General features: G+C 52.0%; 1 protein-coding gene across 1 annotated transcript; it reads right to left on the bottom strand.

Moving 5' to 3' along the window:
- Positions 1–17,643: 17,643 nt before the first annotated feature.
- Positions 17,644–19,083, bottom strand: ZNRF4 (zinc and ring finger 4). Its single transcript, NM_181710.4, has one exon. It carries the CDS (start codon positions 19,006–19,008, stop codon positions 17,719–17,721), a length of 1,290 nt encoding a protein of 429 aa, NP_859061.3. The 5' UTR covers positions 19,009–19,083; the 3' UTR covers positions 17,644–17,718.
- Positions 19,084–19,998: the final 915 nt, after the last annotated feature.

Genomic DNA, 19,998 nt, shown 5'->3' with positions numbered 1-19,998 from the left:
TAGGATTCATTACCCAGCAGACTGCATAGCTTTTTTTTTTGAGACAGAATCTTGCTCTGTCACCCAGGCTGGAGTGCAGTGGCACAATATCGGCTCACTGCAACATCTGCCTCCCGAGTTCAAGTGATTCTTCTGCCTCACCCTCCCGAGTAGCTGGGATTACAGGCGCGCACCACCACGCCCGGCTAATTTTTGTATTTTTAGTAGAGACGAGGTTTCGCCATGTTGGCCAGGCTGGTCTTGAGCTCCTGACCTCAGGTGATCTGCCCACCTCGGCCTCCCAAAGTGCTGGGATTGCAGGGGTGAGCCACTAATAACTATTTATAATGTTAATGCTCAGGGCTCATCTTCCCCATGCCATGAGAGCCCAGGAGGGTAGGGGCCAGGTCTGTTTTGCTCACAGCTAAGTCTGCAACCCCCGGTCCAGGGCCCACCAGCGGGAAGGAATCCTGCAGTGTTTCCATCCATCCTGGAGCCTCAGTTTCCACATCTGCCTAATGGGGTCATGTGCCACTTGTCCTTGGGGTCACTGAGTGTCTTCAGTCATCCGCCAAGTCTGCAGAAGCACCTAGCCAGCTGGGCTCGGGCACACAGTAAGTGTTTGTCTCTCACCCCCTCCAACCATCACTCAGACCTGGCATGGGAGGTGACAGCCCCGCAGATGCCACTGGCTTGGGTTGCACTACTGGGGCCAAGATGCTGTCACATTTGGTAAATTGCAGGCAGGCAGCTTCTGCGGCTGCAGTACCAAGGACAGGCAGGGATGTGACTGGGAATATCTGGAGTTCAAGAGACCCAGGACTGAGCCGGGAAGTAGAGGCCTGAGAGTCAACTCTGCCCCTCTCTGGGCCTCAGTTTCCTCACTGGCAAACAGAAGAGGTCTCAAGATCACTGAGGCATCTCGGAATTCCTTTGGCCACATCCTGGTGTATGAGTCCCTCACTAAGCCCTTTCATGGCTTTGAGCCTCCATATATAAAATGCAAGGATGAAAAAATAAGAAATAAGATCTGAGCACAGGAGGTGACCTTTCCTGAGCTCAGGGCCCGATGCTTAAACCCCAACCTGGCTGGGCATGGTGGCTCACGCCTGTAATCCCAGCACTTTGGGAGGCCAAGGCAGTGGATCACCTGAGGTCAGGAATTCAAGACCAGCCTGGACAACATGGCAAAACCCTGTCTCTACTAAAAATACAAAAATTAGCTGGGCGTGGTGGCACATGCCTGTAATCCCAGCCACTCAGGAGGCTGAGGCAGGAGAATTGCTTGAACCCAGGAGGTGGAGGTTGCAGTGAGCCGAGATCATGCCACTGCACTCCAGCCTGGGCGACAAGAGCAAAACTACGTGTCAAAAACAAACAAAAAACTCTCATGATAGCTAATTGATTGAACTCCTACTGTATACCTGGCCCTACACTGAGAACTTTCTAAGGAATTTAGATCTGCTTTAGGCCTCACAGCAACCCCACGACATAGGATACTATTAATATTATTACCCCCATTTTGCAGATGAGAAAATTGAGGCCCAGAGAGGTTAAAAACATTCACCCAAGATCACACAACATAGTCAAGAAGTTTCAGAGGCTGAATGGGACCTGGTCTCTCTGGTCCCAAGACTGGTCTGTAAACCCTCACACTGTCAAATGAATAGATGAGTGTCTGTTCATCTTTTGGGAAAGGAGAGGGTGCTGGCCACTTTCCCTAATGACACAGGGATCTCCAGGTTTACCCCAAGAGCCGGGTCATGGTCCCAGACCCCCTATCACTGATAACTTCCTCCCTACACAGCCAACCCCCTTGCAAAGATGCCCCCGTGGACACTGACTCCTTCCTCTCGCTGGGGCGAAAGCTCCCTTCCTCCCCAAGATCCGCTCAGGCAGGTGAAAGAGACAAGGAGGGAGAGGAGGCATCTCCCCTCGTGTCCACCTGCAGCATCTTTCAAAGAAATGCAAAATCCAGAGGAATGAGAGAGCCAGCCGCAGGCTGTGTGTGAGCGTGTGCAGGCGTGTGTGAGTGCGCGCATGGATCTATGAAAGATTTAGGCGGCGCCTGGTGTGTTATGGCCATAATTAATCTTGTCTCTTGTTGGCAGAGTGAACAACGTTCAGAAATTACTTGTTGTGGCCTGGGAGAGGCGAAGGCTGACGGGGCCCAGATTCCTTTTCCCAGGGATCGGGGTAGTGGGGTATAGATGTGGGGGAGGGTGATTCGAGAAGTGGGAGCTGCCTGGGTGCAGTGGCTCACACCTGTAATCCCAGCACTTTGGGAGCCCAAGGCAGGCAGATCACTTGAGGTCAGGAGTTCAAGACCACCTTGGCCAACATGGTGAAACCCTGTCCCTACTAAAAATACAAAAAATTGGCCGGGCGTGGTGGTGTGCGCCTATAATCCTAGCTACTCGGGAGGCTGCGGCAAGAGAATCGCTTGAACCTGGGAGGCAGAGGTTGCAGTGAGCCAAGATCACACCACTGCACTCCAGCATGGGTGACAGAGCAAGACTCCGTCTCAAAAAAAAAAAAAAAAAAAAGCCGGGCGTGGCAGTGTGTGCCTGTAATCCCAGCTACTTGGGAGGCTGAGGCGGGAGAATTGCTTGAACTTGGGAGGCGGATGTTGCCATGAGCCAAGATCGCGCCGCTGCACTCCAGCCTGGGTGACAGAGTGAGACTCTGTCTCAATTTAAAAAAAAAAAAAAAAAAAGGAAGTGGGAGCTTCTCCTAAGTTCTCCTCCACCCCACACTGGTCCCTGTCTCCATTAAGGTCATGAAGTCCCCAATCCAGTGGGTACCCCATGCATGATGGGTGCCAGGCTAGGTATTTTTGGAGGAAGAGCTTGTATTGTGTGTTTATAGTTTTACTGAGGTAAAGTGAGGTTTTAAAAAAATTTTTTTTTTGAGACAGGGTGTTAGTCTGTTGTCCAGGCTGGAGTGCTGTGGCGCGATCACGGCTCGCTGCAGCCTAGACTTCCTGGGCTTAAGTGATCCTCGTACCTCAGCCTCTTGAGTAGCTAGGCCCACAGGTGCACATCACCATGCCTGGCTAATTAAATTTTTGTGTTTTTTGTAGCGATACTGTTTTTTGTTGCGTTGCCCAGGCTGGTGTGGAACTTCTGACCTCAAGTGATCCTCTCACCTCAGCCTCCCAAAGTGCTGGGATTACAGGCGTGGCCTCTAAACATTTTTTTTTTTTTTGAGATGGAGTCTCCCTCTTGTCACCCAGGCTGGAGTGCAGTGGCAGGATCTCGGCTCACTGCAACCTCTGCCTCCCAGGTTCAAGCGATTCTCCAGCCTCAGCCTCCCGAGTAGCTGGGATTACAGGTGCCCGCCACCATGCCTAATTTTTGTACTTTTCGTAGAGATGGGATTTCGCCATGTTGGCCAGGTTGGTCTCGAACTTCTGACCTCTGGTGATCTGCCCGCCTCAGCCTCCCAAAGTGCTGAGATTACAGGTGTGAGCCACCGCGCCTGGCAGCCTCTAAACTTTTTAACAACATCTCTGCTTACAGATGAGGAAAATGAGGCACAGGACGGTTGTGGCCAGGCAGCCAGGAGTCATTTGCGGGGAGTGGATTATCTAGACACATATATCCATAAAGCCATCTGCATAATGGAAACAGTGAACATGTCCATCACCAACAAAATGAATACATTACTCCCTTTGTAACCCCTCCCCCTCCTTCCCCTCCTTCCTGTCCCCAACCCTTTCCAGGCACCCACTGGTCTGCTTAGGGTTCCTATAAATGAGTCTGCATTTTCTGGATGTCACCAGTGCGTACTCTTTTTACGTCTGACTTTTATTCCTCAGCATTACTGATTTCCAGGCTCAGCCCTGCTGTTGGGTCAATCAGTGCCCTTTTCCTTTTTATGGCCGAACAGAATACTGTGGTCTGAATGGACCACTGTTTGCTTATCTGTTTACCTGTGGGTAAACATTTGGATTATTTCCAGTTTGGGGCTGGTATGCATAAAGCTGCTCTGAACAAGTCTGTACGAGTCTTGGTGTGGATGTAGGCATCGTTTCTCTTGGGTAAATAAATACCTAGGAGAGGCGTGGCTGGGTCATAGGGGAAGCGTGTGTTTGACTTTTTCAGCAATTAGGAGCTGTGGACTTTAAACACAATGATAGGCCGGGCGCGATGGTCCAGGCCTGTAATCCCAGCACTCCGGGAGGCGGAGGTGGACGGATCACCTGAGGTCAGGAGTTTGAGATCAGCCTGGCCAACATGGTGAAACCCCGCCTCTACTAAAAATACAAAAATTCTCTGGGTGCAGTGGCGGGCACCTGTAATCCCAGCTACTCTGGAGGCTGAGGCAGGAGAATCGCTTGAACCTGGGAGGTGGAGGTTGCAGTGAGCCAAGATGGCGTCACTGCACTCCAGCCTGGGCAACAGAGCGAGACTCCATCTCAATCAATGAATAAATAAATAATAAACACAATGACAGCACATCTGGAGGGCTGGGGTGGGCTATCTTGTTTTATGCTTTAGACAGCTCAGTGACTATGGGCATTTCACTTTTCAGAAGGGGAAACTGAGGACAGATCATGTGGCTGATGAGCAGGGACTTGAACCCAGGACTGTCCAAGTCCAGAGAGGTAAACACACTCACCCAAGGTCACACAGTCAAGAAGTTTCAGAGGCTGAACTGGACCCGGGTCTCTCTGATCCCAAGACTGGGCTGTAAATCCCCACACTATCAAATGAACAGCTGAGTGTCTGTTAATCTTTTGAGAAAGGAGAGGGTGCTGGCCACTTTCTCTAATGATATGGGGGTCTCCAGGATTCTCCAAGAGCTGAGTCGTGGACTCAGACCCCCTATCACCGACAACTTTCCCCCTACACAGCCAGCCCCCTTGCGAAGGTGCAGCCGTGGACACCAACTCCTTCCTTCTGCTGGGGCAAAGGCTCCCCCCTTCCCCAGACCCCCTCAGGCAGGTGAGCACTAGGCTGGATGCATTTGTGGGCACCTGGACACCTTCAGCTTCTCTCTCTCTCTCTCTTTTTTTTTTTTTTGAGACAGAGTCTCGTGCTGTCACCCAGGCTGGAGTGCAGTGGCACCATCTCAGCTCTCTACAAACTCCGCCTCCCGGATTCAAGCGATTCTCCTGCCTCAGCCTCTCAAATAGCTGGGATTACAGGCGTGCACCACCACACCCGACTAATTTTCGTATTTTTAGTAGAGACAGTTTCACTGTGTTGGCTAGGCTGGTCTCGAACTCCCAATCTCAGGTGATCCGCCCACCTAGGCCTCCCAAAGTGCTGGAATTATAGATGTGAGCCACCATGCGCGGCCCTTAGATATGTTTAGAGACACAGTACTTACCATTGTGTTACAGTTGCCTGCTGTGTTCAATGCAGTCTCATGCTCTGCAGGTTTATAGCTTGAGAGCACTAGGCTCTCAAGCATACCGTATGGCGTAGGTGTGCAGAAGGCTCTACCATCTAGAAGTGTGTAAGCACATTCTGTGATGTTCACACAGGACAAAATCACCTGATCACCCATTCCTCAGAGAGTATCCCCATCATTAAGCGACGGATGCTGCGTTTACTTTCTGGTTTTTTTTTGTTTTTTTTTTTTTTTTGAGACGGAGTCTCGCTGTGTTGCCCGGGCTGGAGTGCAGTGGTGCTATCTCGGCTCACTGCAACCTCTGCCTCCCGGGTTCAAGCCGTTCTCCTGCCTCAGCCTCCCAAGTAGCTGGGACTACAGGTGCCCGCCACCACGCCCAGCTAATTTTTTGTATTTTTAGTAGAGACGGGGTTTCACCGTGTTAGCCATGCTGGTCTCAATCTCCTGACCTCCTGGTCCACCCGCCTTGGCCTCCCAAAGTGCTGAGATTACAGGAGTGAGCAACCGCGCCCGGCCTGTTTTTTTTTTTTTTTTTTTTGAGAAAGGGTCTCACTTGGTTGCCCAGGCTGAAGTGCAGTGGCACAATCATAGCTCACTGCAGCCTTGAGCTCCTGGGCTCAAGCAATCCTCCCACCTCAGCCTTGTGTGGTTCAAGTAGCTGGGACCACAGGCGTGTGCCACCATGCCCAGCTAGTTTTTTTTGTTTTTTTTTTTTTTGAGACACTGTCTTGCTCTGTTCCCAGGCTGGAGTACAGTGGTGCCATCTTGGCTCACTGCAACCTCTGCCTCTGGGGTTCAAACGATTCTCCTGACTCAGCCTCCTGAGTAGCTGGGACTACAGGCATGTGCCACCACGCCTGGCTACTTTTTGTATTTTTAGTAGAGATGGGGTTTTGCCATGTTGGTCAGGCTGGTGTTGAACTCCTAACCTCAGGTGACCCACCCGTCTTGGCCTCCCAAAGTGCTGGGATTACAGGCATGAGCCACCGTGCCCGGCCTGCCCAGCTAATTTTAAATTTTTTTGTAGAGATGGGATCTTGCTATGTTGCCCAGGCTGTTCTTGAACTCCTGAGCTCAAGTGATCCTCCTGCCTCGGCCTCCCAAAGTGTTGGGATTACAGGCATGCGTCACTGTGCCCAGTCTTGTTTGTTTGTTTGTTTGTTTGTTTGTTTTGAAACAGGGTCTTGCTCTGTCACCTGGGCTGGAGTGCAGTGGCATGATCACGGCTCACTGCAGCCTCAAACTCCCGGGCTCAAGATGTCCTCCCAGCTCAGCCTCCCAAGTAGCTGGGACTACAGGTGTGTGCTGCCACAATTGGCTAAATTTTTAATTTTTTTTAGAGACAGGGTCTTACTGTGTTGCCCAGGCTGGCCTTGAATTCCCGGGCTCAGGCAATCCTCCCGTCTCAGTTCCCAAAGTGCTAGGATTACAGGCGTGAGCCACCGCACCCAGCCTGTATTTGCTTTTTAGACACTCTTTACATATTCCCACAGTGTTGACTGTCTGCCTGGCACGGTCATAAGCACACACTTTACATGTCTTAATGTCTCTAAACTTCTTAACACCATCTCCATTCACAGATGGGAAAACTGAGGCACAGGCATTTCTGGCCACTCAGCCAGGAAGCATCTGAGGAGGGTGGGGACGGGCTTACCACCTGCCACCCCCGCAGCAGCAGCCTGGCCCACTCATGGTGCTCATAGCCCCCTGCGCAGGTTCTGGCTCAAGCACGGTGGTTCAACAGGCCCGGTTTTCACAAACGAGGCACCAGAAATCCCAGGAGGGGGCAGGACACTCGCCTGGCACTGGGGTCTCAGGACTGCCAGCCCTCTGTTCCCTACTATCTCCAGAGCTGCAACCAGGGCCCCCCCAAAACTGAGCCCTGCAGCCTGGGAGTGGCCTCAGCGGGTGCTGGCTCAGACAGCGAACAGATGCTTGCTATTTTAAACCCACTGTTAACTCATTAAGACAGCTGTTTCCCATCCCCAAAGTCGGCGGAATTAGAATTAAATTCATTCCAGAATTAAACACACACATACACACACGCACACCCCACCACCATTTGGAGGCAAAACTTGTTAGCATTTAGGCAAGCTGTGCCTCTGAGCCTGGGGACGGGGCTCGGCTTCCGCCTGACAAGTTACATCACAGCCCAGCGGTTGCCAGCTGGGCCTGTGGCCAAAATACCCCGTGGGCCCAGATTCTCATGTCTGCCCAGGTCTCCGCCATCAGAGTCCAGCTGCCAACTGCACGTCCTCCTGGAGTTCCCTCTGACCCCTCAGACCCAGCAAGGCCCAGAAGCAGCTCAGTATCTGCCCCAAATCTGCTTCTCCTCTTGGGTGACCATCTCCACCTGTCACTCACATCAGAGTCCAGGTTTCCCCTTCTCTTTCTCCTCTCCCCTTACCCCTCACGTCTGAATGGGCAGGACTTTCTGTTGATGCTTCTTCCAAATGGCTTTGCCCCACCCCTACTACTACTGCACTGGTCTGAGCTTTTATCACCTCCAGCCTGGACACCTGCCCCAGACACTTTTCCGGGTTTCTAACTTCCACCTGCACTCCCAACTAGCTGTTTTCTCTTAAGAGAGAGATCTTCTTAGAGTCAAAATAGGATTGTATCACTCTCTTGATCAACATTGTCTAGCACAGGGCTGTTTATTAGTACTTTCTGGGATGCGTGGAATGTTCTAGACCCACGCCAGCCAACACAGCCACCCCCATGCAGCTATAGGGTGCTTGCAATGTGGCCAGTGTGAGTGAGGACCTGCATTTTAAATTTTATTTCATTTGAATGACTTTAAATATTCACATGTAGCCGGCAGCTCCCGTATTGGTCAGTGAAGCTCTGTGGACTCTGGACATGACGCCATTGGCCTCCTGCTCAGATCCCTGGGGTCCTCCCTGTTTCCTGGAAGTGCAGGCTGGGATTCCAACTCGGTCTGTCTGTCCAAGCCTGCTCTGACATTGCCCGTGGTGGGCTGGAAGTATCACAGAATTCACACTACTCCTCCCAGCAACCCCCAACCGATGGTGCACTGGCTTTTGCATAAATCCCTTGTCCTTGGGGTGGGGCAATTCTTTTTGTTTGTTTGTTTTTTGTTTTTGTTTTTGTTTTTTTGAGACGGAGTCTCACTCTGTCGCCCAGGCTAGAGTGCAATGGTGCTATCTCGGCCCACTGCAACCTCTGCCTCCCAGGTTCAAGCGATTCTCCTGCTTCAGCCTCCTGAGTAGCTGGGATTACAGGCACCCGCCACCACTCCTGGCTAATTTTTGTATTTTTAGTAGAGATGGAGTTTTACCATGTTGGCCAGGCTGGTTTCGAACTCCTGACCTCAAGGGATCTGCCTTCCCTGGCCTCCCAAAGTGCTGGAATTACAGGTGTGAGCCACCGCACCTGGCCAGGTGGGGCAATTCTGAGTTTCACAGTCAACACAGGCTCCCCAAGGTCCCCAGTGGGACTGAACTCCACCTGCCCCTGGCTCACAAAAGCACCCCTGTTTGCTGCTTCTCTTCCCTCTTGGACCTTCCCACACGCTTCCTAGGGCTTCCTGGGTTTATCTCCCACATACACCACTTGTCCTGAAATCCTTGTCTGGGGGGCTGCTTTGGGGGAACTCAAATAGAACAGGCTCTGAATTGCACAGGCAAGAAAATGCAAACTGTTCATCGTGGCTGACAAGGCCCTTCATCATCAGCCCCATTACCTCTTCACTCCTGCCGTCCACACCAGCCACACTCTCTTCTCCTCTTCTGACACACCAACCCCTCCTGCCATGGGACATGTGCTCATGTTGTTCCCACCCCCTGCAACTCCGATCTTCTCCCATCCTGTCTCCTTACTCTCCACGCTTCAGTTTAAATTCCTCCTACTCACACAGGACGTTCCCAACCACCCTGTCTGCCGGCCACTGACTCCTTCTCTCTCTCTTTTTGTTAGAGATAGGGTCTCGCTCTGTTGCCCAGGCTGGAGTGCAGTGGTGTAATCATAGCTGACTGCAGGCTGCAACTTCTGGCTTCAAGTGATCCTCCGGCCTCAGCCTCCCGAGTAGCTGGGTCTACAAGCATGGACCACCACACCCAGCTAATTTTATTTAATTAATTAATTAATTAATTAATTTTTTGTTGAGACAGAGTTTCGCTCTGTCACCCGGCCTGGAGTGCAGTGGCGCAATCTCAGCTCACTGCAACCTCCGCCTCCCAGGTTCAAGCCATTCTCCTGCCTCAGCCTCCAGAGCAGCTGGGGCTACAGGTGCATGCCACCACGCCCGGCTAACTTTTTTGTGTTTTTTTAGTAGAGACAGGGTTTCACCATGTTAGCCAGGATGGTCTCGATCTCCTGACCTCGTGATCCACCTGCCTCGGCCTCCCAAAGTGCTGGGATTACAAGTGTGAGCCACCGCGCCTGGCCACACCCAGCTAATTTTAATTTTTTCTTTGTAGAGATGGTGTCTCACTATGTTGTCCAGGCTGGTCTCCAACTCTTGGTCTCAAGCAATCCTCCTGCCTTGGCCTCCAAAAGTGCTAGGATTACAGGCATGAGCCACCATGCCCAGTCAACCTTGACTCTTTTGAAGAGCACTGGCCAGGTGTTTTACAGAAGGTCACTCAATTCAGGCTTTTCTAGTGTCTAATCATGATTAGATGGGGATTCTGCATTTCTGTCCAGATCCCACTGAGATGGTGCTGTGGTCCCCTCAGAACAGCAGATCAGGAGGCACACACTGTCAATGTGTCTTGTTGCTGGGGGCATTAATTTTGATCCCTTGGCTAAGGTGGTACCAGCTAGATTTCCCCCCAGAAAGTTATCTTTATTCTTTTCCAGTGAATAAATATCATGAGAGAGTTACTTTGAGACTGGGCAAATATCCTCTTTCTCCCTCAACTTTCACCCAGTAATTCTAGCATTCTTTGATTGATCCTGCCTCTCACACGCTTTATCTTATCTCCTTATTTCTCTCCTGGGACTCACCACTGTTTGAAACATTCTTGTTCAGTTGTTCAAACATAGTTCAATATTTGCCTCCTCCACTGGACAGAATTTGCGAAGGTGGGGGCTGGGTTTGTTGTGGTCAGTTTTGTGTCCCAGTGCCCAACACAGGCTCTGGCACGTAGAAGGTGCTTAGCAAATTTGTGATGAATAAACAAATGAGATGACACCAATCAACAAATCCCAGGTGCTCAGGAAGTATGATTGGGTGTCAGCTCAAGAATGAAGTGTGTTCTAGGAGCAAAGATGCTATGAGATGCTACTTTAGAGGAATGCTCATCCATGGATGAATCCCTGGAGAAAACACCAGTGCTTCCATCTCCCAACAGCTCCCTTGGTCCTGCTGGAAGTCTGTATATGGAGCTGATACCACATGGATCTTGCTCTTTGAAATCTATGTCCAGGCTGGGCACAGTGGCTCATGCCTGCAATCCCAGCAATTTGGGAGGTCGAGGCAGGAGGATTGCTTGAGGCCAGGAGTTTGAGACCAGTCTGGGCAACATAGCAAGATCCCATCACTACAAAAAATAAATAAATTATCCAGTCGTTCTGGCACATGCTTGTAGTCCCAGCTACTTGGGAGGCTGAGGTGGGAGGATCACTTGAGCCCAGGAGGTCAAGGTTGCAGTGAGCTGTGATTGTGTCATTGCACTCTGGCCTGGGCAACAGAGCAAGACTCTGTCTAAAGAAGAGGAAGAAGAAGAGGAAGAAGAAGAAGAGGAAGAGGAAGAAGAAGAAGAAGAAGAAGAAGAAGAAGAAGAAGAAAGAAGGAGAAGGAAAAGAAGAAAGGAAGTCTATGTCTAATAAAGCTACAGTAAACAAGGCAAGGGTATTGGCATAAGGATTGACAAATAGATCCATGAAACAGAATAGAGAACACAGAAAAAGACATCCCCCCCCCCCAACATATACATACATGGTCATTTGCTTTTAGATGATCCAGTGACAAAAGGCAAGTATTTTCAACAAAAGCCTCTGGAACAACTGGCTACCTGTGTGGGGAAATAAAGAACCCTAACCCTTACCTCACACCATACACAAAAATCAATTCAAGATGCATCATAGATGAAACATGAAAGCTTGAATTACAAAAATTTTAGAGGAGAATAAAAACAATATTTTTGTGGCTTCAGGGTAGGCAAAGGTTTCTTTGGACACAGGGAGCAAGAATCCTAAAAGAAAACGAATTGGCCGATTTCACTATAGTAAAATTAAAAGCTGATCAGCAAAACACCCCAGTGAAGAAAATCTAAACCCAGCGCAGAGTGTGGGAGTAGTGGGAGTGGAGTGGTGTGCGAGGACAGGTCCCCAAGGCTGTGTGTCTGGTTTTTATTTTTGTTTTTTGGGGTTTTTTTTGGTGGTGTTGTTTTTGAGATAGGTTCTCACTCTGTTGCTCAGGCTGGAGTGCAGTGGCACAATCTCAGCTCACTGCAGCCTCGAACTCCTGGGCTCAAGTGACCCTCCCATCTCAGCCTCCCAAGTAGCTGGTACTACAGGCATGCACCACCACACCTGGTTAATTTTTTTGTTCGTTTTTTTTTGCTAGAGACACGGTCTAGATATGTTGCCCAGGCTGGTCTCAAACTTCTGGGCTCAAGTGATCCTCTTGCCTCAGCCTCCCAAAGTTCTGGGATTACAGGAGTGAGACACCATGCTGGGTCTCACTCAATTGGCCTGGCCGCGCCAATTATTTGTTGACTCATGAGCTACCCAGACAAGACTTAGGGAAGTGCCAGCCCACCGGAGTCAGGTGACATGAATTTGAATCTTGTCTTTGTCCCCAACACACTGGATGAGCATGTGCTGGGCCCGCCTCTCTCTGGGCTACATTTCTCTGCCTGTCCATGAAAAGGTACAGTGCAATAATGTCTGATCCCCACCAATGTGTTCCACCCATGGGTTTCTCTCTCTTCTTCCAACCCCTAGTCACCAGGAGCCCCAGGCAGAATGTGGGCTGCTGGACAAGGCAGTGTAGCATGTGCCAACCCAAGACATATCACCCTGTACAGACAGATCTTCCATCCCAGCAATGTTTTCTGTCTCTGAGAGTTTAGCTATCCTGGCATAAAACCTGAGACCTTGGAGCAGGACGGGAGAAAAGACAAAAGAAGCAGTCTGATTTCGGACAGCAAATCTGTTTAATTTGCAGCCGGACATCTGGCCTGGCAGGGGCCAAGCTGGGACACAGCCAGTGAGGCAGGAGGTTTGGGGAGCCAGGCGTGGGGAAGGGCGGATGCTGAGGCCTGGTGCAGCTTCTCCTTAGCTGTGGCACTTGGGCAGGGGTGGTCCCCTGTCTGTATGCCAGCTTCCTCCTGGGAGAAACGGGGAACATCACATCCCCCAAGCTCAAATGGTGATAGGAGGGCTCATGGGCAACTATGTGCAGAAAACGTATGTGGTCTCTGCCTTGAGTCACTGTCATTTGACAGCTGAGGAAGCTGAGATGCTGAGGGGGTGATATGGTCTGGATGGCTCTGTGTCCCCACCCAAATCTCATCTTGAATTGTAATCTGAATTGTAATCCCCACATGTTGGGCAAGGGACCCCATAGGATGTGATTAGATCATGGGGGCATTTCCCCCATGCTGTTCTTGTGAGAGTGAGTGAGTTCTCATGAGATCAGCTGGTTTTATAAAGAGCTTCCTCCTCTTCACTTCTCTCTCCTGCCACCATGTGAAGAAGGACGCGTTTGCTTCCCCTTCTGCCATGATTATAAGTTTCCTGAGGCCTCCCCAGCCATGCAGAACTGTGAGTCAATTAAACCTCTTTCCTTTATAAATTACCCAGTCTCAGGTATTTCTTCATAGCAGCGTGAGAATGAACTAATACAGAGGAGAAGTAAGTGATGGGCACCTCGGCTCACTGCAACCTCCACCTCCTGGGTTGAAGTGATTATCTTGCCTTAGCCTCCTAGGTAGCTGGGATTACAGGCGTCCACCACCACGCCCAGCTAATTTTTGTATTTTTAGTAGAGATGAGGGTTTCACCATGTTGCCCAGGCTGGTCTTGGACTCCTGATGTCAAGTGTTCCAGCCACCTAGGCCTCCCAAAGTGCTGGGATTACAGACGTGCACCAGTGCCTCTCCAGAAGAGTCTTCTTTTTGATCCTTCTTGGACAAATCCCAGGGCTGGCTCTCATTGGCCCAGCTTGGATCACATGTCCCATCCTGAACCAATCACTGTGGCTTAGAGGGTGCAATCCTTTCATTGGCTAGGCCTGGGTCATGTGACTACCCAGAATCTGGAAGAAGGTCTCTTCTCCCCACTCCTTGCAGCCACGTGTACTCAGAATGGAAGACAGGTAGTTTCCCACAGCTGCACCGTGCTGCTGGCCCCAAATACATGTCTGCCATAGGTAGCTAGCACTGTTATCCTCATTTACAGAGGAGCAAGTCAAGACTCTGAGGGGGTAGTGGCATTCTCAGGGGGCTTCACAGTAAGTAGCAGGGCTGGGAATTTGAACCTAGGACTTTTTTTTTTTTTTTTTGAGATTGTCTGTGTCACCCAAGCTAAGCTGGAATGCAGTGGTGTGATCATAGCTCACTGCAGCCTTGACCTCCTGGGCTCAGGTGATCCTCCTGCCTCAGCCTCCCAAGTGGCTGGGACTACAGTCAGGCACTACCAGGCCTGGCTAATTTTTAAAAATTTATTTGTAGAGATGGGATCTCGCTATGTTGCCCAGGCTGGTCTTGAACTCCTGGGCTCAAGAAATCTTCCTGCCGTGGCTTCCCAAAGTGCTAGGATTACAGGTGTGAGCCACCGTGCCTGGCCTAAACCCAGGACTCTTGACTCTCGTATTTGGGATCCTTTTTGTAGATGTGTGCAAGGGACTGAAGGAATGGTAATGTTGAGCTAGGCTGAGCGAGGCATGTGGAGGGCACTCTGGGCAGAGAAAACTGCCTGTGCAAAGGTGTGGAAGTGAGACCCAGCACTGTGGCAATCAAAGAGGTGGAGGAAGCACATTAAATTTTGTATTTGCCGGCTGGGCGCAGTGGCTCACACCTGTAATCCTCGCATTTTTGGAGGCCATGGCGGGAGGATCACTTGAGGTCAGGAGTTCGAGACCAGCCTAGCGAATATGGTGAAACCACGTCTCTACCAAAAACACAAAAATTAACCAGGTGTGGTGGTACATGCCTGTAATCCCAGCTACTTGGGAGGCTGAGGCAGAAGAATCACTTGAACTTGGGAGGTGGAGGTTGCAGTGAGCCAAGATCATGCCACTGCACTCCACCCTGGGCGACGAGGCTCAGTCTCAAAAAAAAAAAAAAAATTGTATTTGCATGAAGTACCTCTTTAAAATCTCCCAGGAACAATATGAGGTACGTGCTGTTAGGATGTCCATTTTCCATATCCATAAAGTAGAGATCAGAGAGAGAAATGGCCATGCCCATCATCTCAAAGAAAGCCAGAAACAGCAAAGCCAGCTTCAAATCCAGGTCTGGCAATTCCCCAAAGCTGGGCCTCCTTCCCTCTCACCCCTATGTTATGGGTTGAATTGCATCCTCTCAAAAAATATGCTGAAGTCCTGACCTCTGATATCTGGGAATGCGACCGTATTTGGAAATAGGATCTTTGCAGACGTAATCAAGTTAAGATGAGGTCATTAAGATGGACCCTAATCCAGTATGACTGGTGTCTTCATAAAAAGAGGAGGTAACAAGTTTGTGGCTGCATCATTCCAATCTCTACCTTCGTTGTCACGTGGCTGTCTTCCCTGTGTCTTTGTCTCTGTGTCTCTTCTTTTCTTTTCTTTTCTTTCCTTTGTTTTACTGAGACAGAGTCTCCCTCGGTCACCCAGGCTGGAGTGCAGTGGCGTGATCTTGGCTCACTGTAACTTCTGCTTCCCAGATTCAAGTGATTCTCTGCCTCAGCCTCCCGAGTAGCTGGGATTACAGGCACGCACTACCATGCCTAGCTAATGTTTGTATTTTTAGTAGAAATGGGGTGTCGCCATGTTGACCAGGCTGGTCTCGAACTCCTGACCTCAGGTGATCCACCCACCTCGGCCTCCCAAAGTGCTGGGATTACAGGCGTGAGCCACTGATCCCAGACCCTCCAGTGGTTTTAGTCAGCACCCCAGAACAAATCCGTTTCTTTTTTCTTTTTTTTTTTTTGAGACGGAGTGTCTCTGTGTCCCCAGGCTGGAGTGCAGTGGCGCGATCTCAGCTCACTGCAACCTCCGCCTCCCAGGTTCAAGCGATTCTCCTGCCTCAGCCTCCCGAGTACCCGGGGTTACAGGTGCACGCTACCACGCCTGGCTAATTTTTTGTATTTTTAATACAGATGGGGTTTCACCGTGTTGGCCAGGATAATCCTGATCTCCTGACCTCGTGATCTGCCCGCCTCGGCCTCCCAAAGTACTGGGATTACAGGCGTGAGCCACCACACCTGGCCCAAAATCTGTTCCTTACTAAGCTCTACGAGGGCCTGCACGACCTGCCCTATCCCCTTCCCACGCTCCTCCCTCTCCCCTCTGACTCACTCTGCTGCTGCCATATGGGCTTCTGGCTGTTCCTCCAACATGTCAGGTGCAGTCCTGTCGCAGGGCCTTTGCATGGGCTGTACACTCTGCCTGGAATATCCTTCCTGCACTAACGCCTCCTTCCTCCCCTTTCAGTCTCAGTTTGTGTTTTTTGTTTTTGTTTTTGTTGAGACAGGGTCTCACTCTGTCACCCAGGTTGGAGTGCAGTGGTGCAATCATAGCTCACTGCAGCTTTGAGCTCCTGGGCTCAGGTGATCCTCCCGTCTCAGCCTCCTGAGTAGCTGGGACTATAGGTGTGCACCACCATACCCCGCTAATTTTTGTATTTTTTTGGAGAGATGGAGTTTCACTATGTTGCCCAGGCTGGTCTCGAACTCCTAGACTCAAGCGATTTGCTAACCTCAGACTCCCGAAGTGCTGGGAGTGCAGGCGTGAGCCACTGTGCCCGGCCCTGAGTCTCGGTTCTCATGTTTCCTCCGTGATCTCCCTGATCATCCGCCAAGCTCTCTCCATCTCATGACCCCCTTGTGTTTTAGCCCCAGGATTTATCTCGTGCTGACATCTCCCTGCTCATTTATTTAATTATATACTTTGTATCTATCCCCCACCCTGGAATAGCAGTCCCTGGAGAGCAGGGACTTTCCCCTGTTTTGTTCACTGCTGTGTCTGTGTGCCTGGAACCGCGTCTGGCACAGAGTGGGCGCTCTCTGGAGGTTGCTTGGGCTTCAGTCGGAATCTTGCACGTGACTCTCACATTCACACTGTTCCAGGGAATGTCTCAGAGGCGACCTTGACCCTTTTGCTCCTATGACCTCACCTAGTAGCTATTTCTCGTCGGAGCATGGTCAAACAGCCCCCTCACTGCCCAGAAAACTCCCTTGCCTCCTTGCATTTTTTTTTTTTTTTTTTGAGACAGGGTCTCACTCTGTTGCCCGAGCTGAAGTGCAGTGGTGTGATCATAGCTCACCTCCCAGGCTCCAGCAATCCTCCCACCTCAGCCTCCCAAGTAGCTGGAACTACAGGCATGTATCACCACACTTGGCTAATGAATTTTTTTTTCTTTTTTGAGACGGAGCCTCACTGTCGCTAGGCTGGAGTGCAGTGGCGTGATCTCAACTCACTGCAACCTCCACCTCCTGGGTTCAAGCAATTCTCCTGCCTCAGCCTCCTGAGTAGCGAGCAGCTGGGACTACAGGCACGCACCACCACGCCCAGCTCATTTTTGTAGTTTTTAGTAGAGACAGGGTTTCACCATGTTGGCCAGGATGGTCTTGATCTCCTGACCTCATGATCCGCCCGCCTTGGCTTCTTAAAGTGCTGGGATTACAGGCGTAAGCCACTACGCCCGGCCTAAGAAAATTTTTTTGTAGAGGTGGGGTCTTGTTATGTTGCCCAGGCTGGTCTCAAACCTCTAACCTTGAGCGAACCTCCCACCTCGGCCTCCCATCCCATCACACCTGGGATCCCATGAGACATAAGAGGAAACGGAGTAAAAGGGGTTGGAGAACTCTATGGCACCTTTGCAACTTTTCTGGAAATCTAAACCAGTTCCAAAATAAAACGTTTATTTTAAAAGAAAAAATGTGAATGAAGAATAAGGCCATCCAGGATGAGTGACCCGTGTGCCCGGGACTGGAACCAAAGCACAGACGACCCGTCTCAAAGCCACTCCGGCACCACGGTCACAGCCGCCCCAAAAAGGCCCCCCAGCCCTCACCACCCCTCGCTCTCCCGCCCGCAGAAACGGGGATTGGCCTTAGGCTTGATGGGGATGGGTGTCCCCCAACCCCAGTCAGAGGCGGGTGGCCCAACAGCAGCGAGGCTGAGAATCCGCTTTCAAACCCACTTTATTCTTTTCAGACCAGAAACATTCCTCATTGCACCCCCCTCCCTGCCCTAGATCTTTACTGACCAGGGGCCTCAGGAGGGGCTGAGGAGACAGTGGTATACTCTGCCTCCAGGGACGTGGTGCTGCAGTGGCAGTGGGGACTGGCGCGGCCCAGCAGCTCCAGCCTCCGGGAGCGTAGCTGGACTTGAATGGCCCAGATGGGGGGCCGGTGGCCCGGTAGGGAGGGGTCCTCGTCCCTGAAGCTGTAGGTGGTGGAGTCAAAGCTGTCTTCTGTGGCGGCCACCGACTGTTTGCACACGGGGCAGGAGCGCCGGGGGGCTTGGGAGAACCAGGGGTCAATGCATTTGCAGTGGTAGGTGTGGGAGCAGGGCAGGATCTTGAGTTGGTCGCCCTCCTCATACTCATCCAGGCAGATGGCACACAGGTCGTTGTGCCACGTGAAGGTGCGGACCTGGGCCTTCTGGCAGGTAGACGTCTTCACCGGCCGTCTGTGGCTGCAGCAGGCCTGGGCCCAGAGCCACAGGTGGTTCAGGACAAAGAAGGCTGATACGACCAGGGCCAGGGTACAGCCCAGCACCCAGGACACGGTCAGCACGGGGTGACAGCCCAGGTCGTGGCACGGTGGGTCGTCGGGCAGGAGCAGCGCGTGGGCCGACTTGTTGCAGCCCAGGATGACCCGCAGGTCCTGCGAGGCGGCCTCGCTCACGAACACTGAGGGGATGGCGATCTGGCCCCTCAAGTCCTCGTAGACGTGGGTCATGCTCACGAGGTCGTCGGAGTGGACGTTGTGCACGATGGCCGCCTCGAAGCCGGCGCGCTGGGCGTTCAGCACCTTGAGGTCGAAGGTGCAGTCGTAGCGGCGGATCAGCACGATGGCGCCCAGAGAGCGGTTGCCCAGTCGCGGGGCCTCGATGGGATGGCACGCGTTGGCTGGCTTGACCTCCATCAGGTAGCCCCGTATGCCCTCGGGGGCCAGGGGGACGCCGAACAGCGCCGGCAGATCCGCAAAGTCCACCGAGCTCGAGTTGTCTTCCAGCACGGCCCGTACCACTGCCTGCGCGGGCACCTGGAGCAGCGACAAGACCAGCAAGGCTTTGACTGCCACGAGGGCTCGGCCCGGCCGTGGCCACCCCATGGTCACCCGCTTCGCTGTCTGTGTGCTGCTAGGTCCCACTGGAGGCGGCAGGCATGAGGCCTTTGGGCATCTCCGGGGTCTCCCAGGGGGCCTGTGGCCAGGACGCGAGGGCAGTTGAGTTGGAATGACCGCGTGGCTCAGAGGCAGTGACGCGGCCACTGGGACCCTGCTGGCTCTAGGCATTAAGTGCTCCGGACGGCAGAGCGGCATGCGTCGTGTCTTTGAAGGCCGGTCTCAGGAGGTGCTGGCGCAGGTGGCCTTTCTGGCAGATGACATGGAGACCAGGAGTCACCAGGGTTCTAGATGCCCCCAGCTTCTGTGACATCGCCCTGCTACATTCTGTCCCAGGAGCTGCCAGCTGCCTGGGCCTGTGGCCAATGGATCATTCCTAGGTCTGTGATTTGCCGGTACCCGGGCAAGCTTTGAGATAACTTCTTGAAGGCTCAGGGTATCTTTGGACCCAAGGAGGCCCAGGGATGCTTCAAAAGGGCTGCCGGCCCCCAGCAGTGCAGATTCAGCCCTCACTGTGCGAAGACGCTACCAGCATCAGCTTCTGGAGGTTCCTAGCAACACACTGTAGAAGGTTCAATGTTACCCTTGTCTGAGACTCCAAGAGTGACCCAGACTTGTTCAAGCCACGCCCCCCTACAATGAGATCAGTGCTTAAAACCCAAATTCCTGACCCCCTGTCACCATCCCTCACTCTGCTCCAGCCACACAGATCTCCTTGCTGTTCCTCCAACACACCAGGCAGGATCCTGCCCCAGGGCCTTTGCATGGGCTGGGCCTCCTGCCTGGAAAGCCCTTTCTCTCCGTAGCTGGCTCTTTTATCCGGACTCAGGTCTGAGTCCATATATCCTCAGAGCCCTCCTGGACTTGATTTGGAGGGAGAGTCAAGTGCCAGGGTCAGGGTGGGGCTGGTGGGGGTCAGTGGTCCCAAGTCCGCACCGCCAGGTTGGCCTCCAGGCTTGCACCAGCTTCATTCTCTCTCCCTATAGCATTGCCTCTCCAGCTGGGTCTCCAACTGTGCCCCCTGCCTGAGCTTCAGCCCTGGGCATCAGCCTCACCTCCTCCCCAGTCCCCATCCCCCAAATTTCACACCCTCAATCTGTCTGCAGCCCACTCAAGTCGGATTTCTGTCTCTGCCATTCATAAGCTGTATGACATCAGCTAAATTCCTTAGCCTCTCTGGGCCTCAGC

This window comes from Homo sapiens, chromosome 19 (genome assembly GCF_000001405.40).
Source record: "Homo sapiens chromosome 19, GRCh38.p14 Primary Assembly".
In the NCBI taxonomy this organism is placed as follows: domain Eukaryota; kingdom Metazoa; phylum Chordata; class Mammalia; order Primates; family Hominidae; genus Homo; species Homo sapiens.
This window is presented reverse-complemented; position numbering and strand designations above follow the sequence as displayed.